General features: G+C 37.6%; 1 long non-coding RNA gene across 1 annotated transcript in view; it reads left to right on the forward strand.

Annotated features, from left to right (window-relative positions):
* LOC105372932 (uncharacterized) overlaps nucleotides 1-27,223 on the forward strand; it is a 166,214-nt gene that overhangs the window by 92,827 nt on the left and 46,164 nt on the right. The gene's annotated exons all lie outside the window — the stretch shown is intronic.

A 27,223-nucleotide genomic window follows, 5' to 3' on the forward strand; every position in this document is an offset into this window, starting at 1 on the left:
CTGGAGGCTCCAAAAAAGACCCACTCCTTCTGCTTGAGGAGAGGAGAGGGAAGAGTGGGGAGGACTTTGTTTTGCATCTAGAATACCAATTCAGCCACAGTAGCATAGAGCACTGGTCAGAGTTGTGAGGCTTCTTTTCCAGGCCCTAGATCCCAGGTGACATTTCTAGAGACACCCTGGGCCAGAAGGAAACCCGCTGCCTTGAAGGAAAAGACCCAGTCCTGGCAGCATTTATCATCTGCTGACTGAAGAGCCCTTGGGCCCTGAATAAGAAGAAGTGATACTCAGGTACTACGTCGAGAGCCTTGAGTGAGCCTCTGAGACTTGCTGGCTTTAGGTGAGACTCAGCACATTCCAAGCTGTGGTGGCTATGGGGAAAAATTCCTTTGGCTTGAGAAAAGCAGGCGGGAAAGTAAAGGGGACTTTGTCTTGCACCTTAGGTACCAGCATAGCCACAGAGCAGTAGAGCACCAAATGGGCTCTTGGAGTCCCTGATTCCAGGACTTAACTCTTAGATGGCATTTCTGGTCCTGCCCTGGGCCAGAGGGAAGTCCACTGACCTGAAGGGTGAGTCACAGGCCAGGTAGCATTCATGACAAGCTGATTTAAGAAACCTTGGGTCTTAAGGGAACATCAACAGTAGTCTGGCAGAACTCCTCGTGGCCTGGGCTGGCAGTGGCTGTGGGGTGAGGCTCTTCTGCCTTTGAAGGGAAGGGAAGAGTGGGAAGGACTGTGTCTTGTGGTTTGGTGCCAGCTCAGTTGCAATAAAATAAAACACCAGGTAAACTTCTAAGGTTTTTGACTCTAGTTTCTGACGCCCAGACAGTACTTCTGGACCCACTCGGAGGCGAGTGGGGGGACCTTGCTGCCCTGAAGGGAAGGACACAGGCCTGGCTGACTTTGACACCTGCCAATTGTAGAGCCCCAGGGCCTTGAGTGAATTGTAGAGCCCCAGGGCCTTGAGTGAACAGCAGGCAGGAAGTGGTTACAGCAGACCTTGGCTGAGACCTAATGCTGTGCTGGCTTCAGGTCTGACCTGGTGCAGTCATAGTGGTGGGGGCCACAGGGATGCTTGTGTTATTCTACTTGCAGCTTTAGGTGGCTCAGAACAGAGACAGATAGATTCTGTATGTTTGAGAGAAAGTAAGGGAAGAGGAATCTGCCTGGCAATCCAGAGAATTCTTCCAGATCCGGTCCAAGACCATCAAGACAGTACGTCTATGAGTCTGTGAGAACCATAGTGTTACTAAGTTTGGGGTGCCTCCTAAAGCAGATACAGCTTAGATCACAATATTCAAGCCCTTTCAAATATCTGGAAAGCCTTCCCAAGAAGGATGACTACAAATAAACCCAGACAGTGAAGACTATAATAAATACCTAATTCCTCAATGCCCAGACACTGACAAACTTCCACAAGCATCAACATCATCCAACTGAAAACATGATCTCACCAAATGAACTAAATAAGGCACCAGGGACCAATCCTGGAGACACAGAGATACATGACCTTTCAGACAGAGAATTCAAAATAGCTACTTCGAGGAAACTCAAAGTAATTCAAGATAACACAGAGAAGGAGTTCAGAATTATATCAGGTAAATTTAACAAGGAGATTGAAATAATTAAGAACCAAGCAGAAATTTTGGAACTGAAAAATGCAGTTGGCATACTGAAGGATGAATCACAGTCCTTTAGCAGAATCAATCAAGTAGAAGGAAGAATTAGTGAGGTTGAAGACAGGCTGTTTGAAAATACACAATCAGAAAAGACAAAAGAAAAAAAAGAGAAACAATAAAACATGCCTACAGGATCTAGAATATAGCCTCAAAAGAGGAAATCTAAGAGTTATTGGTCTCAAAGAGAAGGTAGAGAAAGAGATAGGGTAGAAAGTGTATTCAAAGGGATAATAACAGAGAACTTCACAAACCTAGAGAAAGATATCAATATCCAAGTAGGTTATAACCAAGAAGGTTATAGAACACCAAGCAGATTTAATTCAAAGAAGCCTATCTCAAAGCATTTAATAATCAAACTCCCAAAGGTCAAAGATAAAGAAAGGATCCTAAAAGCAGCAAGAGAAGAGAAACAAATAACATATGATGGAACTCCAATACATTTGGCAGCAGATTTTCAGTGGAAACCTTACAGGCAAGGGGAGAGTCACACGCCATATTTAAAATGCTGAAGGAAAATAACTCTTACTGTAGAATAGTATGTCTGGTGAAAATGTCCTTCAAACATGAAGGAGAAATAAAGGCTTTCCCAGATAAATAAAATATGAGAGATTTTGTCAACACCAGGCCTATCCTATAAGAAATGCCAACTTGAATACTTCAATCAGAAAGAAAAAAATATAAGCAATAGATAATCAACAGAAGGTATAAAACTCACTGCTAATATTAAGTACACAGAGAAACACAGAATATTATAACCCTGTACCTGTGGTGTGGAAACTACTCTTATCCTAAGTAGAAAGACTAAACAATAAACCAATCAAAAATAAGAACTACAACAACTATTTCAGACATAGTTGGTACAAAAATATATAAATAGAAACAAGAAAAAGTTATGAAGGGGGGAGACAAAGTTAAGGCATAGGGTTTTTATTAGTTTTCTTTTTGCTTGTTCCTGCAAATAGTGTGAAGTTGTTATCAGGTTGAAATAATGGGTTATAAGATAGTATTTGCAAGCCTCATGGTAACCTCAAAAAAAAAAACATACAATGGATACACAAAAAATTGAAAGCAAGAGACTAAATCCTATCAGCAGAGAAAATCACCTTCACTAGAAGAAGACAGGAAGGAAAGAAAGAAGGAAGAAAAGACCATAAAGCAGCCAGAAAACAAATAACAAAATGGCAGGAGTGAGTCCTTATTTGTCAATAATAACATTGAATGTAAATAGACTAAACCCTCCAATCAAAAGGCATAGGCTGGCTAAATGGATAAATAAAAAAACAAGACCCATTGATCTGTTGCCTGCAAGAAACACACTTCACCTATAAAGACACATAGGCTGAAAATAAAGCAATAGAAAAGATATTCTATGCCAATGGAAACCCCCCAAAAAAATATCAGGGGTTGGTATAATTCTATTGGATAAAATATATTTCAAGACAAAACCATTGAGAAGAGACAAAGAAGGTCACTATATAATGATAAAGGGGTCAATTCAGCCAGAGGAAATAACACTTGTAAATAAATATGCACACAACACTGGAACACCCAGATATATAAAGGAAATATTATTAGAGCTAAAGAGAGAGATAGGCCCCAATACAATAATAGCTGGAGACTTCAACACCCTTCTTTCAGCATTGGACAGATCTTCTAGACAGAAAATCGCAAAGAAACATCAAACTTAATCTGCACTTCAGACCAAATGCATTTAATAGATATTTACAGAATATTTCATACAAGAGCTGCACAATACACATTATTTTCCTCATCACATGGATCATTCTCAAAGATAAACCATATGTTAGATTACAAAACAAGTCTTAAAACTCAAAAAACTTGAAATAATATCAAGTATCTTCTCTGACTACAGTGGAATAAAACTAGAAATTTATAGGAGGGATTTTGGAAATGATACAAATACATGAAAATTAAGCAACATGCTAGTGAATGACTAGTGGGTCAATGAATAAATGAAGAAAAAAGCTGAAAAATTTCTTGAAACAAATGATAATAGAATCACACCATACCAACATCTATGTAATACAAAAAAGCAGTAAGAGGGAAGTTTATAGCTATGCATGCCTATGTCAAAGAAGATGAAAAACTTTAAATGAACAATTTAAAAATGCATCTTAAAGAACTAGAAAAGCAAGAGCAAACCAAACCCCAAATTAGCAGAAGAAAAAAATAATAAGAATGAGAGCAGAAAAAGATATAATTGAAATTTAAAAAAATACAAAATATCAATGAGACAAGACATTGGTTTTTTGAAAAGTTAAACAAAATTGTCAAGCCTTTAGCAAGACTACTAAAGAAAAAGAGAGAAGATCCAAATAAATAAAATCAGACATAAAAAAGGAAACATTAAAACTGATATTGCACAAATTCAAAAGATTATTAGTGGTTACTATGAGCAGCTATACGCCAATAAATTGGAAAAGCTAGAATAAATGGGCAAATTCCTAGATACATACAACCCACCAATATTGAACTGGGAAGAAATCCAAAACCTAAACAGACCAATAACAAGTGACAAGATGAAAGCTGTCACAAAAATTCTCCCACTAAAGAAAAGCCTGGGACCTGATGTCTTTACTCCTGAATTCTACCAAACATTTAAAGAAGAATTAATATCAATTCTACTCAAACAATTCTGAAAAATAGAGGAGGAAGGAATACTTCCAAACTAATTCTACAAGGCTCTTATTATCCTGATACCAAAGGCAGATAAAGACACATGAAAGAAAAAAAGAAAGAAGAAGAAGAAAAAGAAAGAAAGAGAAAGAAAGAAAGAAAAAGAAAGAAAAAACTACAGGCCAGTATCCCTGATAAACACTAATGCAAGAATTCTCAAAAAAATACTGGCAAACCAAATTCAACAATACATTAGAAAGATCATTCATCATAAACAAGTGCAGTTTATCCCTGGGATGCAAGGATGGTTCAACATACACAAATCAGTCAATGTGATACAGCATATCAACATAATGAAAGATAAACACCATATGACCATCTCAATTGATGCTGAAAAAGCATTTGATAAAATTCAGTATCCTTCATGATAAAAACCATAAAAAATGGGGATAGAAGTGTACCTCAGCATAATAAAGGCCATATATGTTAGACCCACAGCTGGTATCATATTGAATGGGGAAAACCCAAAAGCCTTTCCTCTAAGATCTGGAACATGACAAGGATGCCCACTGTCACCACTGTTATTCAACCTAGTAATGGAAGTCCTAACTAGAGCAGACTAGAGAGAGATATAAAGGGCATCCAAATTGGAAAGGAAAAAGTCAAATTATCCTTATTTACAGGTAATATGATTTTACGTTTGGAAAAACCCAATGACTCCACAGGAAAACTATAGAACTGATAAAATATTCAGTATAGTTTAGTGATAAAAAATTCAGGATACAAAATCAACATACAAAAATCAGTAGCATTTCTATATGCCAATAGTGAATAATGTGAAAAAGAAATTAAAAAGTAATCCCATTTACAATAGGCACACATAAAATTAAATACCTAGGAATGAACGTAACGAAAGTAATGAAAACTGTAAAACACTGATGAAAAAAATTGAAGAGGACACCAAAAATAAAAAAAAATTGCATGTTCATGGATTGAAAGAATCAATATTGCTAAAATGCCCATACTACCCAAAGCAATCTGCAGATTCAATGCAATCTCTATCAAAATACCAATGACATTCTACACAGAAATAGAAAAAGCAATCCTAAAATATATATGGAACCACTAAGCAAAATGAACAAAAGTGGAGGAATCACATTACCTGACTTCAAATTATACTACAGACCTATAGTAACCAAAGCAACATGGTACTGGCATAGAAACAGACACATAGATCAGTGGAACAGAATAGAGAACCCAGAAACAAATCCACACACCTACAGTGAACTCATTTTCAACAATGGTGCCAAGAACATACCCTGGAGAAAAGACAGTCTTTTCAATAAATAGTAATGGAAAAACTGGATATCCATATGCAAAAGAATGAAACTAGACCTCTATCTCTCACCATATAAAAAATCACACCAAAATGAATTAAAGACAAATCTAAGACATCAAATCATAAAACTACTACAAGAAACAGTCAGAGGAAAATCTCTAGGACATTGGCCTGGGCAAAGATTTCTTCACCAATACCCCACAAGCACAAGCAACCAAAGCAAAAATGGACAAATAAGATGACATTAAGTTTAAAAAGCTTCTGCACAGCAAATAATATGATCAAGAAAGTGAAGAGACAACCCATAGAATGGGAGAAAATATTTGCAAACTACCCATCTGACAAGAGATTAATAATCAGACTATATAAGGAGCTCAAATAACTCCACAAGAAAAAGTATAATAAGCCGATCAAAAAATAAACAGATGATTTGAATAGAGATTTCTCAAAAGAAGACACACAAGTGGCAAACAGACATACGAAAATGTGCTCAATGTCATTGATCATCAGAGAAATGCAAACAAAACCTACAATGAGATATCATCTCACCCCAGTTAAAATGGCTTATATCCAAAAGACAGGCAATAACAAATGCTGGTGAGAATGTTCAGAAAGGGAATCCTTGTATGCTGGTGGTGGAAATGTAAATTAGTACAACCAGCATGGAGAATAGTTTGGGGGTTCCTTAAAAAACTACAACTTGAGCTACCATATTCAGAAATCCCACTGCTGGCTATATACCCTAAAGAAAGGAAATCAGTAAATCAAAAAGATACCTGCCCTCCTATGTTTGTTGCAGCACTGTTTACAATAGCTAAGATTTGGAAGCAACCTCAGTGTCCTTCAACAAATAAATGAATAAAGAAAATGTGATGCATATCCTCAAGGGAGTACTATTCAGCCACAAAAAAGAATAAGATCCAGAAATTTGCAACATCATGGATGGAACTGGAGATCATTATGTTAGGTGAAATAAGCCAGGCACAGAAAGACAAACGTCACATGTTCCTCACTTATTTGTGGGATCTAAAAATTAAAACAATTGAACACATGGACATAAAGAGTAGAAAGATGGTTACCAGAAACTTGGAAGGGTAGTGGGGGGCAGAAGGGAAAGTGAGGATGATTAACGGGTAGAAAAAAATAGTTAAAAAGCATGAATAAAACCTACTATTTGATAGCACAATAGCCAATAATAACTTCATTGTACATTTTTAAATAAAGAGTATAATTGGATTGTTTGTAACTCAAAGGATAAGTGCTTGAGGGGATGGATATGGATACCCCATTCTCCATGATGTGCTTATTTCACATTGCATACCTATATCAAAACATCTCACGTACCCCATAAATATATACAACTACTATGTACCTGCAAAAAAATTTTAAAATTAAAAAAAGTAGATACATTGGACTTGATTAAAATAAAAAACCTTTGTGCATCAAAGGATACTATCAATACAGTAAAAAGACAACCCACAGAATGAGAGGGAATACTTTCAAATTATATATCTGATAAGGGATTAATATTCAGAATATATGAAGAACTTCTACAACTCAACAATAAAAACCCAATTAAAAATGGGCAAAGGACTTGAGTCTACATTTCTCCCAAGAAAATATATAAATAGCCAATAAGCACATGAAACGATGCTCAACATTACTGATCAACAGGGAGATGCAAATCCAAATGACAATGTGATACTATTTCACACCACATAGGATGGCTATTATGAAAAATTAAACCAAACCAACCCAAACAGAGGAAAACAAAGGCAGAAAATAACAAGTGTTGCCAAGGATAAGGAGAAATTGGAACCCTTGTGCATTTCTAGTGGGAATGTAAACTGGTGTAGCCACTTTGCAAAATGATATGGCAGTTCCTCTAAAATTCAAACGTACATTTTTATAAAACATTTAATGAAAAATGGGACATTGCCAATTACAATAAACATCTGTTGAATAAGCGATTGGATAAACAAAAGAAAGAATTAATGAAAAAATGAGTTTTAGGATAAAGCATAGCTCATTTAAAACCTGTGTAGGGTGGCAGAACAGCATGAAATCTGGCCAGATAACCTGTGTTTGAGTTCCTCTTATTTTATGTGCCATTGGTCAAGTTGCTTTTCTAAGACTCAGTCCTCTTATTGGTAAAGTGAGATTAATACTAATGCCTCTCTCACAAGGTTTTAGCTAAGACCAAATTAAAGCCACTTCTTTTTCCCCATTGCCCAAGACAGAAACATCTTGGTGTACAGGACATGAGGGAGTTTGCTCAGAGCCCTAGGTAGGGAAGGGAAGGGAAGGGGACTACCACTGCAGGGGCAGGACATATGCTAGAACACAGGGTTGCTTTCCATTTATTACCAAACATGTGTTTGGTAACTTTATGCAAATAATTTCCTTTTATAAGTTATCCTTTTACCATTTTTCATCTGAGGTTCTAAATCTGGAAGTGGAGGTATATGGGAAGAAGAAAGGATGGTTGATTTTGATAAGTCATCTAAAAGATGAAGAGTAAAGAGAATTAACATTAGCCATATAGGATTACTAAAAATAAGCGCTGTGTCCATGGTTCTCATTTTATCATTGCAATGGGACCAAGAAAAGTAAAAGAACTGGAAAGGATTTTAGCTGTTGGGTTACATAGATTTTGACCCTCAAATAACAGTTCCAGAGAATACATTCTCTTCCCAAACTGAACTTCTCCCTTGACCATCTCCTATCAAAGAAGAAGAAGAATGTCTCTGTTGGGGTGGATAACCAGCAAGTATGCTTGGTTCCCTCTTCTCTGCTCTTTGTACTTTCCCCTCCTTAGGCAAGTGGCCTGTATTTCCTTTTTAATCCTCCTTGTTAAATGCTGGTGAGAATCATTTTACACATGGCCGAATTTCCAAGCAACATCCCCACAGGACTGAGCTGCTTTTAATGTCTGATCTTTTGTGACATGGAAAGTGAATTTTATTGATCTCTGCTCTAGCCTTGATTATTTCCTTTTTCTGTTGGCTTTGGGTTTAATTTGTTTTTCTTTCTGTAATTTTTAAGGTGAAACTCAAGGTTATTGATTTGAGACACTTCTTATGTAATAAATGCTATATAGATTCCCCTCTAAACGCTGTTTTATTGGCATCTCACACAGTTTAGTTTGTTGTACTTTCATTTTCATTTAGTTAAAACTAATTTCTATTTCTTTTGACTTCTTTGAGTGTTTGATTCTTGGATTATTTTGAGGGTTATGTAATTTCCAAATATTTAGAGATTTTCCATATCCATTTCTGTAGTTAATTTCTAATTTGCTTCTTTTTTTTGAGACAGAGTCTCCCTCTGTAGCCCAGCTAGAGTGCAGTGGCCCCATCACGGCTCACTACAACCTCCGCCTTCTGGGTTCAAGCAATTCTCCTGCCTCAGCCTTCTGAGTAGCTGGGATTAGAGGCATGCCCCACCACACCTGGCTAATTTTTGTATTTTTAGTAGAGACGGGGTTTCGCCATGTTGGCCAGGCTGGTCTTGAACTCCTGACCTCAGGTGATCCACCCACCTCAGCCTCCCAATGTGCTGGGATTACAGGCGTGAGCCACTGCACCTGGCTCTAATTCACTTCTGTTGCGGTCAGAGAACATTCTTTACATGATTATATCCTTTTACTTTATTGATACTTGTTCAGCAGATAAGCTTCTTGGAAGTAGTTTATCCCTTTAGGATTTTCACTTTAAGCTTTGTTAGTTGGGATAAGAGGAGTTTTTAGTCTAGGGCTAATTTTGCCCCTTTACTGAGGCAAAATCATTCTAAGTATTCTATCCCATAGCTCAGAGGATATAAGGTTTTCCACTCTGCTTGGAGGGAACATGAACTATTTCTACCTCTGTGTGATTGCTGGGATTATTTTCTCTAATACTTTTGGGTGCCCCTCCTTTCACCCCCAGGTAGTTTTCTATCTCATTTACACTCGGCAGTACTCAGCTGAAGATTCATGGGAGAACCTCCTCTCTCTCTCTACAGCTCTCTTCTCTCTGGTACTCTGCCTATGAACTCTAGGTGCCTTCCCTGGACTTACAGGTTATCTCTCTAACTTATCATTGCCACTGGACTCTCTCTGGATTTTCCCATCCTTGTGCTACAACCTGAAAACTCTGTCTAGGCAGTAAGATGGGGTAATCGTAGGGCTCACCTTTTTCTGTTTACCATCTGTTAGGGATCACTCATTGCCTTTTGTTGCCTAATGTCCAATGCCTGAAAGCTGCTATTTAATATATTTTGCCATATATGTAGGCATGACTATGTATTCATTTATTTGGCTTATGTGAGGTGAAAAATAGATCCAGTCGCTAAGATTCCATCTTAGTTAGAAGCAGAAATCCACTGAAAAATGCATTTGAATAACCATTGGTAGATGTTGCTCACCCAGGATACAGATTCAAGTTGAACATGCCTTAAAACATATGATTTGTTTTGTTTTCTTCTCTTATCCTTTCAGTTTCACAGTCTGGTTTACTCAGTGCCTTCCTCTGGCTTGTCCCAGAAATCCTGTAACATCAATCTTGATTCTTTGAGCTGGGAAAAGATGTCTTTGGTCCATCCAAACTCTCCATAGTCTGAAGAATTGGTAGTGCTCATCAGAGTTTATCAATTTGATGAATTAAACTAATGATACATAGTTATACAAATTTTATATATGTATATACATGCATATTACATACATATCCACAAATATTTTACGTTCTCTATACTATAATGACTAGTAGGCTGATAGGCTGATCGGCAGAGATATCTAAAAGCCTAAAAGCTAAAATGATCCAGCCTTAATAGGAACAGGGTCCAGTCTTCTTTTAAAAATTTTTGGTATGGTGTAGAATTTCTTGTTCAATAGAGTTGTGTCCTGCTGGGTGGCTGGATTAAAGAAAGGAATTTATAAGACTGTTGTAAAGGTACTGGGTGAAAGAGATGCTACAATTTCACAGCATCCCTCTGTGGAGCACATTTGCAAAAGTCATTATGATGCCTGTCATATGCTTGAGGGAACAAGCAGTGTCATAGAGTTGATGAAGTTGCTGTCTGGAGTGAGGGCTCTCCAATAAGCAAAGAACATCTGTCACCAATATTTCTACTTCTCATGGTATCTGCAGCTCTGCTGCTCTTTGTGTATACTTCCTGCAGACTTCATTTCACTTTTTTCCTCACCTTAAAAATATAGTCATTCTGCAATAGGATTAGGGCATATCTAAGTGTGCTGCTGTATGATTTAAATCCCTGGCCTTACTATCTGAGTCCATAATCAAGCCATATAGCCTCTCATATCTCTTCCAAGCCCCACACTCATCTCTTCCTTCCCTAAAACTCTCTTCCCTCACTGCTTCAACATTATCACTCAAACTCCTGGACTACTCCTTCCCAAATTCTGTATTTGGAGATTTGAAGTGTTTGAAATCAATAGAAAACTAACAGATATGGGATAATATTATAACTGATTTTTAGTAGCCAAAGAAAACCTTTTAATGGGATAATCTGCCTCATTCAAGGAACTCTGGATCAATAGTCATCTTACACTTCAAGATAGAAAGAGTCACAGGATAGAGAAGGAGAAAAAGCAATTAAAAAGCCCAGAGACTTTTCTTCTTTGAAAGCACAGTATGTTTCATTCGGATGCAGTCATTTTTAAAAATTAAGGTAGACTTAAATTTCAATAAACCTACTTTGCACTTCCAAGATTTGAGTTACTTAAAAACTGTCGTGAAGTGGATTTCCTTAGGGTAGCATGCTGAAGACAGGGCATAGATCAGAATCTTTGGCCTTAATCCTTTTACTTCACACCTGAGGCTTGCACCTCTGTGGTATTTGCATCTAAATACCTGGATAGTGATAGGAGATTAAGAGAGGGAATCCCCTCTGAGGCCAGAACAGGAACTCTAGGATATGCTGGTGCTGCAGTCACCCATATCATTCCTGTGTTTATAATCCATGAGCCCTGCAATGGCCAGGACGATGGAGCAGCTACATGCCAGCCTCTATTTGCTCCTAGACTTAAATTGCTGGCTGAGTCCATGCTGGTGAATAGAGTCCATTTCTCCTGCAAAGAACTTAGGAGTCAGTCGATCAGAAAGAATAGGGGGTGGAGCAGGTTATTAAGAACAGGCTCTAGGATTAGATTAAATCTTGTCCTCACCGCTTTGTAACTGTGTGACAGAGGATGCCAGTAGGGGATACTTTTTCCCCCTCCTGTTGTTTCCTTCTATGTGATGGGAATTTGTGCAAAAACGTAGGAGTCAGTCAAACAGAAAGTATAGCGGGTGGAGCAGGTTATTAAGAGCAGGCTCTAGAATCAGATTAAATCCTATCTTCATTGCTTTGTAGCTGTATGACAGTGGATGCCAACAGGGAACACTTTTCTCCCCCTCCTGATGTTTCCTTCTTTGTGACAGGAATTTGTGATAAGTTATAAAAATGGACACAGATTCTTCCCCTCCCTGTAGTTACACCCCTCATAAGTACCATCAATTGTTCTTCCACTCTGCCTTGGTCTTTTTCTTTGGACGATGAGATGTAACTAAATATAACTCCAACAAAGCCTTAGAAATGCTTTCACATTGGGCCAGTTCTCTCTTGCACCTCTTGGGAGCCACTTACCTGCCATGGGAAGGAAAGGTATTTCAAATAAGACCTGGTGACTGGGTCTGCTATCATTACAAATACCTCAAGTTCTCAAGGGGACAATAATGTCTTAAATGACATTTGGAGAGAAAGGAAAAAAATGGATGTTAAGATCTCCTCCCCAGATTTGATACATTCATTGTGCCAAAATTAATCTTTACTAGGTAATTTCTTCTCATTGGCTTTGAGCTCCCCAATTATGAATTCTGACAGACTGCATTACACCTTGCTGTAGCAGAAGAAAATTAAATCTCCATCTATCTTAACTCTATCAGCTTTGTAGTGCTCTTTGGCAATACAAGTCCATGATTTCTTCTCTAAAATTCGTGGAGTCATGTGTGTTTCTGAATTCAGAGTTAGTCAGATTATGTATACCAGTTATTTACATATCACCTCTAATAGGATCTTCAGAAGTACCCTATAATCTAACACTCATATTTTGAAGCAAAGTATATGAATATTCATACTTGGCATGATACATAAAAACTATAAATCACATCAGTCAGTTGAGGTGAATATTTGCTGTCAAATACATTTTGAATTTTGGAAATGCAGAAGAGGGACTGTAGATAAGAACACAGGTTGGGGCTGGGCACAGTGGCTCACGCTTGTAATCCCAGCACTTTGGGAGGCCAAGGCAGGCGGATCACCTGAGGTCAGGAGTTTAAGACCAGCCTGACCAACATGAAGAAACCCCATCTCTACTAAAAATACAAAATTAGCTGGGCATGGTGGTGCATGTCTGTAATCCCAGCTACTCGGGAGGCTGAGGCAGGCGAATCGCTTGAACCTGAGAGGTGGAGGTTGCCATGACCCGAGATCGCGCCATTGCACTCCAACCTGGGCAATGAGAGTGAAACTCAGTCCCAAAAAAAAAAAAAAATGTAGTTGGGGAGTCTAGGAATAAAAGTTTTCCTTTCCTAGAATATTGCTCTGGAGCTGAAAACAGTTTGTTTTCTACATTTGCAAAGTATGGGGCCAGTGCTACATAATGTTGCGTGTTCTAGTCACTCTTAAGACTTAAAAATGTAAGGAAGATCAGAGATTCAGACTTGAGTTAATGTATAGTCTTAATCCTGGCTGAGCTGCGGTCCCTCCTGTGAGATACAACCCAGGCTATGTTGGCCATAGGAACTTTATTCTGGGAAGGCAGTAATAACCCTTCTAACTGAGACTAAAAAGGGGAAGAAGTGGGAAAATTGAACTTCTTTTGATTTTTTTATTCATATTTGAGTCACTTGGATTCAATGATAGTTTAAGGAAAAGAGAAGAAAGGAGTGAGGGCGAGAAGGAAGGAAAGAAGGAAAGATCTAGCTGACTGGCCTGGATAGAGGGGACTGAGCTATGGACAAAGAAAAAGGCCAAATAGTGAGGCAAAATGGGCATACATGGTGGAAAGAAGACGGGCTTGGGGGGCTGTGGCTTAATGCTCATAAAGAATCAAGGCCTCTATTACCCCTAGCACAATAGATTTGGGGCTTAGGACAGCAGATCAATCTTCATTTCTCACTCTCTAGCGACAAGGAATTTCTCAATATATCAAAAGCCCTGGTTTTCAGAAGCTCAAGGCTTGGGTGGGTCCAGGCCTCCTCATGGGGGGATGTTAGTATTTACATCCTCCTCAGGGAGGATCCCCCTCATGGGAGGATCCAGCGCACACTAGGATAGAGAGTTACATGACAGCTATCGGTCTTACAAAATGTTTATTTGGGTCATAGGAGGAATGAATAAATAAATCATTGTTAACTTCTCCAGAGAAAACCATTACGTAACTCTAAGTATCCATTTTTAAATAGAAGTTGAGACTTCACCGTATATTGTCAGTTACTATCTAGTAGAATTTTATCCTTGGCACACGGACAATGCACATATTTTCTTTAAAAGCACTGTAACTAGAGGTCCCATATACCTCCTAGAATATACATGATGTGACTTCCTTTGAAAGGTGACCTGCTATTTTGACTAACGACCTTGCTAATATAAATATCATGGAGAGATTACTAAGCTTTTTTTTTTTTTTCGTTTCTTACAAGAAAAGAGATTTCTCTCTCTCTTCAGTTTAATGTGTTACCTGAAGTCACAGGGTATCTTGATGGAGCAGCCAACACCAGAACCTATATAATTGTACCTATGGGTGACTCTGCCTGACCTTCCCATCTCCATGGGCAGTTACATAGTCCTGGCATGCATCCAAAAATGGCATGGCAACAATCACCTTTGTTTTATTTTACTTTGTCATCAATGGTTAATATTTCCTGGCACATCAGAAAAGGATTACATCTGGATGCACAGGCTTCCTTCTCCTATTGATAGCCTTTGTGATTTGTCATAAGCTGTTGATCATTAAATAAGCATGTCTTTTAATCATGACCGGTCTGGGAACAGCTTAGACTAACAATCCTAAGAAAAATCCGCCACTCTTTCCTAAGTCAGGTTCCTTTCAATAGAACCATATTATGTTGGGCTTTGTTGTATTTCCTGCTTTGGCCCAATAACGGGGCTTTAGTGACCCTTGCTTGTTTTGAAGAAAGATGACAGATTTCCTGCAGCTCTTTCTACAAGCAGGCAGCTGCGGAAACATCACAGTAATAAACCAAACATATTCTGGGCACCCAGGAAAGCTCCTAAACACTCACTATCCTTTTATTCCTTGCTCTGGGGACTTTCTTCTGATATGATACGGGAGACATTTTCCACCCAAAGTTCTTGACCTTGCCATCAACCATGGTCATTCTCCTTTCTCAACCCTGTAGTTACGTAACTGTTGGGTTTTGTTCATTCAGATGTTGATTATTTGTCCCAGCCAGCCATTCAGAATGTACAGATTTGATCACAATTAGAGGTAACCTTGAAGATACAGACTGTACATTGATTACATAAATTTTAGACATGGTACTATGTCACTTAACTCAGGTAGAGATGAGATAAAACTATAGATCACATTTGTAAATTCATTTCCTATATTAATTATCAGTTGAAACAATTCTTATGGATATTTAGGAAATATGAAGCAAACTTTGAATATTTCACTTTTGCAAGAAGGACAGCCTCTCTCTCTAGCTACCTATTTTATTTTTTAGAATAAACTGGGGCCTGTCCAAGTAAATTACATTGCTTTTTTTCTGTTTTTGCATTGTAAATTAAAATATGTACAGAAAGACACAAAGCAAGCTGAAAGGCTCCCAGCTTCATCCATGGCCCTGCAAAGGACATGATCTTGTTCCTTTTTATGGCTGCATAGTATTCCATAGTGTCTATGTACCACATTTTCTTTATCCAGTCTATCATTGATGGGCATTTGGACTGATTCCATGTCGTTGCTATTGTGAATAGTGCTGCAATGAACATGTGTGTGCATGTATCTTTATAATAGAATGATTTATATTCTTTTGGGTATATACCCAGTAATGGGATTGGTGAGTCAAATAGTATTTCCAGTTCTAAATCCTTTAGGAATTGCCACACAAAACAAATGCAGGGTTTTATGAGTTACTACAAGGCAGAAATTCTTGTTACCATCACTCAGGTCAAGAGAGAAAATTTGTTAACACCTTAGAAGCCATTCCAACCATAATCCTCTCTGTCCAATTTTAATCACAAACTTGTATTTTCTTCTTCACTTTTGTGAATTTCTTTATACTTTTATTACTTCGGTGAACATCCCTGGGAGCTTCAGTTAGTCTGATCCACTTAAAGAAAACTGATACATCTTTTAAGTCTTCTCCTTTTATCCCTTTCTTTTCCTTATAATTTATCTGTTAAAGAAAAAAGGGCATTTGACCTGCATATTTCTCCACAGTCTTGATTTTGCTGATTGCCAACACAAAGTTCAGTTCAGCCTGCTCCTCTCTTCTCAGTATTGGCTGCAAACTGGATCAGATCAGACAGATCCTGCTTTGACTCAGTTTCTATCCATGTGTCAGGACTGTAGGCAGTGGTATGTTTTTACAATGGGAGACATTCGATATCTGGGTATCTCTCTTTTTGTGACGTTAACAGCCAATTTTGTTTGATGACTAGATCCCTTACTAATTTGGGGAATTGCAAATGGGGTCATCCTAATTCTATCATTAATTTTCATTTATGAGGTGGGAAGCTTTTATAGCACAACCTTCCCCTCATCTACGATTTGGTTGTCTACTGGTAACTTATCTTGATTCCACTTCCAGGCGTGTGTGTGTGTGTGTGTGTGTGTGTGTGTGTGTGTGTATCCATGTGGAAGGAAGTTCTGGGGGTTAGCTTTATGGATTTATTGGGGATTGACTGCTCCAGCCCCTTTAGGATACGCCACAGGCCTCTTCCTCTAATCCACACTTGTGCTGGACAATACCCCTCCTGGTGCTAACCCAGAACTGGCCCATGACACTTACCACTGCTCTGGCTACTCTGGGCTTCTTCTGGTTGTGGTTATTTCAGGTAACTCAAACACCAATGCAGGGCTTATGGGTGCTGGTATTTTGTCCTCAACCCCTTATAGTTTGAGAATTGTGGAGAAAAGCTGCTATCTAGTTTTATTTTTAGATATGAATATCATCCTTGCATTTTTCTTTTGCTATCTAGTTCTTCTTTCTTTTTCATGGTGGGGTTTGGAATGATTGGAAAGCAATGCAGCCAACACTGCTGACTCCTTCTAGAACCATATTTTAATTGGTTTCCTAGACATGAAGTGTAAGTCACATGCAAAAGTGTGTGTTGGGAGGGTTGGGAGGGGTGAAATTGTAAGAAGAGGTCCATTTCATCAAAAGTACCAGAACTCCAGTTTTTATTTTTTTTAAAATTGTCTAGCCAGGCATGGTAGCGCATGCTTGTAATCCCAGCTACTCAGGAGGCTGAGGCAGGAGAAACACTTGAACCTGGGAGGCGGAGGTTGTGGTGAGCCGAGATTATGCCATTGCACTTCAGCCTGGGGAACAAAAGCAAAACTCCGTCTTAAAAAAAAAAAAAATTGTCTCGTTTTCTAGATCTTACAAAGCTTGTAAGAACTGTTTCAGCCATAAATAAACCCCTGGCTTTGCTGTTGGACTCACCTGGGTTCAACCCTGGCTGTGCCATGGATTGACTCTGTGACCTTGGGAAAGTTAATTAAGTTATCTGAACCTCATCTGAAATTCAGAAAAAAATACTGTGCATCTCATGAATCCAGTTTTTCCAAGCCCATTCTCATATTTTCTTTCTTCCTCCTCCCACTTTCGCCCCCTAGCAATACCTACCACAGATTCCAATTATTACCCCATAAAAATCTCTGGACTCTGTTCATTTTTCTCCATCTTCACTACCACTGCCATATTCACTCTAATGCAAAGTAGTATCTTCTCTTGCCTGGGCTAGTCAAATACTCATCTAAACTATCTGCCGGCAGCCCCTCTGGGCTCTCTCGTACCCATTCTTTAAACTCAGGCAGAAGAATTTCAAAACATAGTTGTGTCAAACTTCTGCTTAAATAACACTGATTATGTCAACTCTTTCCTAAAGCTCTTTGTAGTCTTCTCATTGTTTATAGGATGAGGCAGAATTTATTTTGAACCAGAAGGTCTGGCCTCTGCCATCTCTCAAGCATATCTCACATCTCTCTCTTCATTTCCCATCTCTGTTCCAGTGGCGCTGGCCTACCCTCATCACAAGAAATTTGCACATGCAAAGTCCTCTTCTTGAAATGATCTTCCTTCCTTTTGTTGCTCAGTTAACTCTTAATGATCCTTTAAATCTCAGAGTAAGCATTTGTTCGTCGGGGGAAGTCTTCCCTGACCTTGTAAGTAGCACGGATCCTGTACAGCACCAGTGCTCCTGCCTCAGCACGTGGAACACTGATTTATGACAGTAAGTCATTAATGTCTCTTTACTGCACTAGAGTTTAAACTCCACAAGGGCAGGGAGAATGTTGTCACCACGGTATCCCCAGCCTAATGCCTGGCACATGGTACTTAGACAATTTTTATTAAATGAATGAATGAATGGTGTTTTTAGATGGATATAAACATAAAAAACTTTTGCTGGTGTTGTGAACTGGTCTAAGCTATTTGGTTTTATGGAATAATTAAGTTCTTTAAAAAAATCTCAGTAGCCACCAACTTGCTGGAGGTCATGGGGTTGGTCACTTCCATTCAACCTCGTTAACAGGTTATGACAAAACCAAGTCTCAGATTACATTTGCGCACACAAAAATCACACAATCAGTGTTGTCAACATGATGGTTTTGTAGACCTTTGTGCTTCTTGATTATCTGAGAAAACTGCTTGAAAGTCATGACCTAGACAAATCCAGGAGTATCCTTGAGTGGGATTAATCCATGTATGACGTTTGGAGAATTTTCCTCAGGTTGTAACAACTGAGCTGTTCAGAATTCCAGAGCTCTCTGGACTTTCCAAACTCAGACACTACCTTAAAGCAAAACCATCAAAGCCTATGGTTTTTTAGGCTCCTGATTTATTCCTTTATCCTGGAGTATCACTTTCGTTAAAGCCCAGAATTCTAAGAAAATATAGTGCAATAAAGAATAAAGCAGTTCTTGTGTACACGTGATTATTGTAGAAATAAAGCAAAAAAAATAGAAAGGAACTTCCCTCATTAAAAAACAAAGTTGAAGTCATTGTTCCCTAGCCATATAATAGTCACTCAAAACAATTCAGATCATTGTGATTTATTGTGAACATTCCCCGAGCACCTGAAGGCTGAGCTTCCCTGTGCCTTTAATGAATGAGTCATTATAACTTGTTTGTGTAATACAGAGAGGAAAACAACAAGCTCATATCTCTCTCACACAAATGATAAGGTGACACACACTTAATCAAAATAAAGGACAAATAATTCAGAGGTCAGTTTTCAAAGGAATTTTGAGCAGTGTTCTTTTCAGTTAACAGAGAAAATAAATTTCAGGAAAAGGATATAATAATCATTCAAATTAGATTAATGGTCCAAAACTGGGGGTGATTTTGCACCCTTAAGGGACATTTTTTGGTTGTCACCACTGAGTGACGTCTGGCATCTATTAGGCAGAGACCAAGGATGTGGCAGCTTAGCATCCTACAATGTACAGGACTGCACCTCCCACCCCACCCACCCACTCAGCAAGGAACCCTGGCCCAAGATGTCAATAGTGACACCCCTGAGAAATCCTGGGTTAGATCATAGATGAGGAACGGGTGAAGCTGGGAAGGACCTGCAGATCATTAGATCTGCAGATCATTAGATCTGCAGATCATTAGAACTATTCTGGGTGTCAAGAGACAGTGACTAATACAAGTCACCAGATACCTGTAAGCTGAGCTAAGCCTAAGTTTTTTCTATTTCACCATACTCTTATTATCGACTACATAATCTCGTTTTGTGTCCTTGACGACATGTTGAAAATAAATGAAGGGTGAATTTTATAGTAAGCTGAGGCATTCAAGGAAACAAAGATTTAAAATGTAGCTGATTTTTGAAGTGGGTATTGTAATTTTTATACTTGTCTTTAATACAATCTTTCCTAATTATTTTATTATTCTCTTCTCCTCCATCTTCTTCTTTCCCCACCTCCCCAGTAGTGCTTTCCATCCCTATCAGCATATGACCTTCCATATTTTTTAAGTTTATACAGATATAAAGACATAAACAGGCTGGTCATGGTGGCTCACACCTGTAATCCCAGTGCTTTAGGGGATAAAGGTGGAGGGATTACTTGAGGCTAGGAGTTTGAGACAAGTCTAGACAACACTACAAGATCCTGTCTCTACAAACAAAAAATAATTTAAATTAGCTGGATGTGGTGGCACATGCCTATGGTCACAGCTACTTGGGAGGCTAAGGTGAGAGGCTTACTTAAGCCCAGGAGTTCAAGCCTGCAGTGATTTATGATTGCACCACTGCATCCCAGCCTGGGTGACACAGCAAAACCTTGTCTCTAAAAAGAGAGAGAGAGAGAAAGGATATAAACACATATGTATTACACATATTCCCACATACATTTCTGGCATTTTTGTTTTATAAGTATGGATTCATGTAACACATAATTTCCTACAACTTGCTTTTGTCATTCAAAAATATTTCCTGAGAAGTCTTTTCAAGACAACCATTATAACTTTCTTTCTTCATTTAACAGTGCTTGTCTACCATAATTTATTTCATCATTTCCCTATTGATGGACATTTATTTTTATATTTTATTTTATACTTACTGAAACATGGTAAAATAATATCCTTTTGAAAATATCATTATGTCCTGGTGTTTTTATTCTTATAAGACAGATTCTTAGAAGTGAGATTGCATATTTGGGAGATCCCAGGTGAACCTAGAGGTAAGAGAAGTATCTTGATTAAAACTAGAAACTCTAAGGCTGGTGGTGGTGGCTCACGCCTGTAATCCCAACACTTTGGGAGGCCAAGACAGGTGGATCACTTGAGATCAGGAGTTCAAGACCAGCCTGGCCAACATGGCGAAACCCTGTCTCTACTGAAAATAGGAAAATTAGCTAGGCATAGTGATGCATGCCTGTAATCCCAGCTACTTAGGAGGCTGAGGCAGGAGAATCACTTGAACCCAGGAGGCAGAGATTGCAGTGAGCTGACATCACACCATTACACTCCAGCCTGGGTGACAGAGCGAGACTCCATCTCAAAAAGAAAAAAAAAAAAAAAAAAGAAAAGAAACTCTATAAACGGGAAGATGGATGTTTTAAATTAAATGACACTTGATTTTTAAATTAAAACTTTAAATAAAATTAAATTTACTAAATTAAGTTAAAAATATGTGTGGAAAAATATGAGCAATTTCAACAATGTGTACTTTGGGGAAATGTTTATAATGCAAATAGTAGGCAAGATAAATAATTATTATAATATCCAAATAGCTTTTATTAATTGCTAGAAAATTGAGTAAAGAAAAGTTACATGCAACTCATTGAAAATTATATGCGAATGGCCGCCAAACACATGAAAATATGCTCAAATTCTGTAGAAGCCACAAACCAGCAAATTAAAGTAATGATGTGCTATGACTTTGTACTTACCACACTACCAAAAAATTAAAAAGAATCATAATACTTACTGCTGGCAGAGATGTGATAAAAAAGGATGTTCTCATATATTTCTGATAATAATGCAAATTGCAAGCCAATTTGGAAAACAGACTGGATTAATTTTTATGAATTTTTATCTGGTCACAGAAGCAACTGCTGTTAAAGTGGTTTGGGAAAAGAACAGCTGAAAGAGGTTTCTTTGGCAGCTTAAAATACTAGTGGAACAGCAAAATAAGAGTGAAAAATAAGCTTCAATCAGTATGCACACTTTAACTGCCCAGTGGACAATTCTACCATATCATTCAAGTCAGATATGCAGTAGTTATATCTCTTTCCTGAATTTCTGGATGGTAGTAGAGTGAAGTCTTGGGGAAATCATGGTGGGGAGAGCGTGTCTGATATGTGGATTCCTAAGCTGTGATTCAAGCTGGATTCCAGATACACCAGAATTAAATGCTGGCATGAAAGGGACAAAGCTATCAAGTGCTTGAGGATTCTAACTGTGGCTAAATCTGAAATCAGCTGGTGATAGAAGACACAAAGGCACAGGTAGCAGGGAGAGGATGAGTCTGGAGCAATTCTCATGTCCAGGATACCATCCTTAAAGCCTGGCAACCTGGCCAAGCCTGGGCGGGCCATGTCCAATGAGGGAGGGTGTCCTGGGTGAGAAAAAAGCAAATTCATAGTCTGCACAGGGGATCCGTCTCTTTTTGTTCCTCACTTCTCTTGGTCCCTAGACTCACCACCCTAAATCATGTCTTTGAAAGTCAAAAGAGAAGGAAGAGAGCTCAGGTCCCAGAGGACTAGAATGTGTATCAATTGAAACTCTGCATTGTAACTAATTTCAACTCAAATGAGTACAAATACCGGTAGAAATTATCTATTAAGCCTGTAGCAGAGTGAAGATATTATGGAAACAGTCTCCAAATTTAGGTTTGTCCTAAATTTAGGTTCTCTTATAAATATAAATATAAATGTTCTCTTAAGAACAATAGAATGGGCTATTTTCCACTGGGATCATTTCAGAACATCTGAGGAATATAATCACTATGAATATGTGGGGAAATGTAATGGCAAATTAAGTTTCAGGTCAACTGGGATGAGGGGATAGGATAATCTGTAAGTCCTTTCTCACTCTCTACTTCCAGGCCCAGATGCCAACCTCACCCCTCCCAATCTGGTTTGTAGCACAGGGGACAGGGCAGGCCACAGAACTGTAGAAGGAAGTGAGAGCCTAGTCTCTGTTTCCCTCATTCTTTTTCCCAATAACTGCTGAACAGCCAACACACCTGCCAAAATAATTTGAAAGAAGCCCGGCATTAGAGCAAGGTCTGAGCAAAGTGCAAACTAACAATGGGGCCCTAATATGCAAGACTGTCTAAGCAATCACTGAGATTTATGATATTAATACCCATGATTTTTCATAAAGGCAGCAGAAAAAGGCAGCAGAAGGTGTGCTTCCTACATGCGAGAGTGGAACTTGGCCCAGATCCCCAGTGTTGGCTCCTATAATCAAAGCCAGTAGGCAGCCTCCCCCAGGCAGAGACGAGTACAACTGCAGCCACCCATCCTGGGGTAACAAGGCACTCCTTCTCTGTCCATACTGTAACTATCCAGGCTCTATCACTTAGGTGAGAGTTGTGTTTAGAATGAAGATGTTAATAGTGAGACTTTATGAGTCAGAGCCCTAGGAAAAAATTGGCTTGGAGTCTGGGTTTTGCCGACATTAACTCAAGAATGGGTGTGTTGATTGATTGTATTCAGCCAAGAATAAACCTTTCTTGTGCAGCTGAGTCACAAGACCATTTGGTGCAATTGTTAATAGCTGAAAACTCAGTAATAAGTTCCATATTTCACAAGTGGTGTCTCATACCAGAGATGTTTCTTCATCAACCTGGACATGTTCCTTGCTTAAATATAGTCTTGGTAGTTGTGGCAGGTACATTTTAAGTTCTCCATGCTTTTTCAGGTACCAGATGTGCCTGCTACAGATAATGCTCAGATATTCCATGTCTTTCTACAAGGTGGGGGTATGCTTTGATGTTTTTCCTCCACAAAACAAATTTTAAGTGAAATTGGTGTATAACAAGGAAGATTGTTCCAGTGCATTGTTATAATCCAAAGGTTGTTAAAAATCCACTTTTTTGAGTAAAGAAGATAGTAAAAAGAAATATTATTTTTATGATGAACAAGAGAAAAACAATTATGTTCTTAAACCAGACAAAGATAATCAGGCGTCAGGAAACTTCACTGCAAAGCCAACATTTTAAACTTTCTTCGTGGTGGCCTACTCCTGTCAAGAGACTCTCATTAAAGGAGGAGAGAATTAATACATACATGTCATAATCATGTGACAGATAGGTACTGTGAAAGCCAACCCGGTAGATATTTTAAGGAGTTCTCTGGAAAATCGGAAATGTAGGGTGGAACTTCTATTTCTAGCAAGATGAGGAGTAAGATACTGTTAAAAAATACAAACTAAAAAAAAATGGAGAATAAATTGAATTTTTAAAAACTTTAAAATATATATTTGAGCCTACTCATGTGATTGAAACACAGGAAATGTATTAATCAATAGTAATATATAAAATAAGAAAAAGATAATCTAAATTTTTTGAGTTTCTTATACTGTTAAAGGGAGAAGATATCAATGAATTATAGATGTTGGTAAGTTGTACACACATACTAAATTTCTAAGGTAATCACTAAAAATACCAGAATGTACACTTTCCAAGAAAACCAAGCACTACAAAATAAGTAAGAAAAGCACAAAGAAGAAACTTAGAAAAGCAGAATAAATACAAAGGTAAAGTAGAAATACATGTGCTTATATTGTTACATAATAAATATGAATTGTTTTCCTATCCAAAGACAAAGATTGTGAAACTAATATATCTTTTTAATCCAACATGTGCTATTTACAATGGATACTTCTAAAACATAAGGACACAGGAAATATTAAACTATTGAAAAAAAATACCAGGCAAACACTAATCAAAGGAAACGTTATGTAATTTTAGACTGTCAGAAAGGTAAGACTTTAATAAAAGCATTATTAAAGATAAAAAAAGGCCTCATGCCTGTAATCCCAACACTTTGGGAGGCTGAGGCAGGTGGATCGTGAGGTCAGGAGTTCAAGACCAGACTGGCCAAGATGGTGAAACCCCATCTCTACTAAAAATATAAAAATTAGCCAAGCATGGTGGTGCGTGCCTGTAGTCCCAGCTACTCAGGAGGCTGAGGCAGGAGAATCACTTGAACCCGGGAGGCAAGGTTGCAGTGAGCTGAGATTGTACCACTGCACTCCAGCCTGGGTGACAGAGCGAGACTCTGTCTCAAAAAAGAAAAGCTACTACATAAGATTTCAGCTTTAATTTATCAAGGAAAATAAACACATCTAATCTTGAATATTTCTAATAATGCAGTTGCAAAATATATAAATAAAATGGCAGATGTATAAAGAGAAATGTGAGACTTTTTACCATCGCAGTGGTGGGAGAGTTCTATATCTATTTCTGATTTCATATATGTATATATATTTTCATTATATTAAACAGAAAAAAATCCAGATGGATACCCCAATTAACCTGATTTGATCATTACACATTGTTTGCCTGTACCAAAACATCACGTGTACCCCATAAAAATATACAACTATTTACCCATAATAATTAATTTTTTAAAAAGAGGAAAAAAATCTAGTAAAGTTACTATCTAACAGCATACGTAGGAAATTTCTTTCAATGATTTGAAAATGAAAGTTATTTTAGGTATTTGGATTATTTACAAAACTTACCATCTGATAGGATATTAAAAACACTAATACATCATAAATAATGTGTACTATACAGATTATTTTACCTAGTCACAATGCAATGAAATAGAAGTAGATAGTCAAAAGATGGCTTTTAAACTTTAAAATATTTAACCTTATGGCCGGGGGTAGTGGCTCACACCTGTAATCCCAGCACTTTGGGAGGCCGAGGCGGGCAGATCACAAGGTCAGGAGATCAAGACCATCCTGGCTAACGCGGTGAAACCCCGTCTCTACTAAAAATACAAAAAATTAGCCGGGCGCGGTGGTGGGCACCTGTAGTCCCAACTACTCGGGAGGCTGAAGCAGGAGAATGGCATGAACCCAGGAGGCGGAGCTTGCAGTGAACCAAGATCATGCCACTGCATTCCAGCCTGGGCAACAGAGCAAGACTCCGTCTCAAAAAAAAAAAAAAAATTTAACTTTAAAAATCCATAAAAAGTCATAGCTGAAATAATTTGAAAGCAAAGCAATAAATAGCCTACAATTAAATTATAACACAAAGTATAAAATAAATATCCATCAGTTTATACTGACATAAATAAATTATTGAATAAACAAATAACAGAGAAGAGACAAATCTACCATGCAGAGAAATTTCAAATAATTTGCATAAATATCCTCATGCCCTCTCCCCAAAGGAGCATAAGTCTCCATCCTGTAATGTGAACTGTGTATAGTGACTTCCTTCTAAAGGGCACGTAGAAAGTGAAAAAAAGAATAACTTAACAGTAGAGAAACTTGACAAACACTACTTGAGGGAAAGTGATCAAAGTTAACATCATTAATGATAAGTCATGTCAATACTACATCCCTTTGAAATGATGTGATGAAAATAGCATTTTACTTCTCCCCAAAAAACCATAACCCGCTAACCATGAGAAAACGATTAGACAAATCCAAAGGAAGAACATTCTACAAAATGACTGACAAATACTCTGTAAAATTATCAAAGTCATCAAAAGCAAGAAAAGTCTAACAAATTGTTACTATATAAAGGAGTTCAAAGGACAAGATAGATAAATGAAATGTATTCTGGAACAGAAAAAAAATAGATAAGCACAAAAGAAATATGAACAAAGTATGAACTTTAATTGTTAATAACATATTAATATTGCTTCCTCAGTTTTAACAAATTTACCGTAATATTTTTAGATGTTAATAATAAGTAAACTGAGTGTAGGGTATATGGAAACTCTCTGTATCCTACACATTATCCTTGCAACTTTTCTATGACTCTAAAAGTATTCTAAAATAAAAAGTGTAATTTAAAAAGTCCGTAAGTTTAGAAATAAAATAAAAATTGTCTTTAAAAACACACAAAATTATTAGTGAAAATTAGTACTTGGAACAGAATGATTATAAAAATACTACTTTCAAAATTTGTGGGATTTAACTAAATGGTAGTTTTAAAAAAGTATACAGCCTTAAATGTTTATCCTAGAAAGAAGGAAAGTTAAAACTTAATTACCTAGGTATTCAATTTATGGAATTAGAAGGATCATCATAATGAACATAAGTAAAATAAAAGAATAAAATAATAAAGAACAATAATTATAAAAATACAAAATAATTATATGAGAAAGGATAAACGTAGACAAAAGCTGGTTGTTTGAAAAGACATAAAAATTGATAAGATTAACCTGGAAAAAAAGGAACGGTCCCCCTCCCCAAAAAATATTAGAAATTTTTAAAAGACGTTATTATAGATGCAGCAGATTTTCTTACAGGTATATGTTATTAAAAGTGTATGCCAACATATTTTAAAACCTAGATGAAATAGACAGAAAATATTAAAACTGATTTAAGAACACCATGTGACAAAAAATGAGCTTAGAGATGAGTTATTCAAATGTTTAAGGAACAGAGAATTCTGTCCTTATACCAAATCTTCCAAAGAATTGCAAAAATAAGGCCACTCCCAACTAGTTTTATGAGGCTCATATAACCTGCATATTAAACAAAGAAAAGAACATTTTGAGAACAAAATCAGACAAGTTCTGATTTATAAACATAGATGAAAAAAGCTAAGGAAAAGTGTTAGCAAACTGAATTCCATATTGTAGAAAACAAAAATACATGCTGGCTAAGCTAATTATATTCCAGGAATACAAGGCTGG

This window comes from Homo sapiens, chromosome 1 (assembly GCF_000001405.40).
Source record: "Homo sapiens chromosome 1, GRCh38.p14 Primary Assembly".
Classification (NCBI taxonomy): Eukaryota; Metazoa; Chordata; class Mammalia; order Primates; family Hominidae; genus Homo; species Homo sapiens.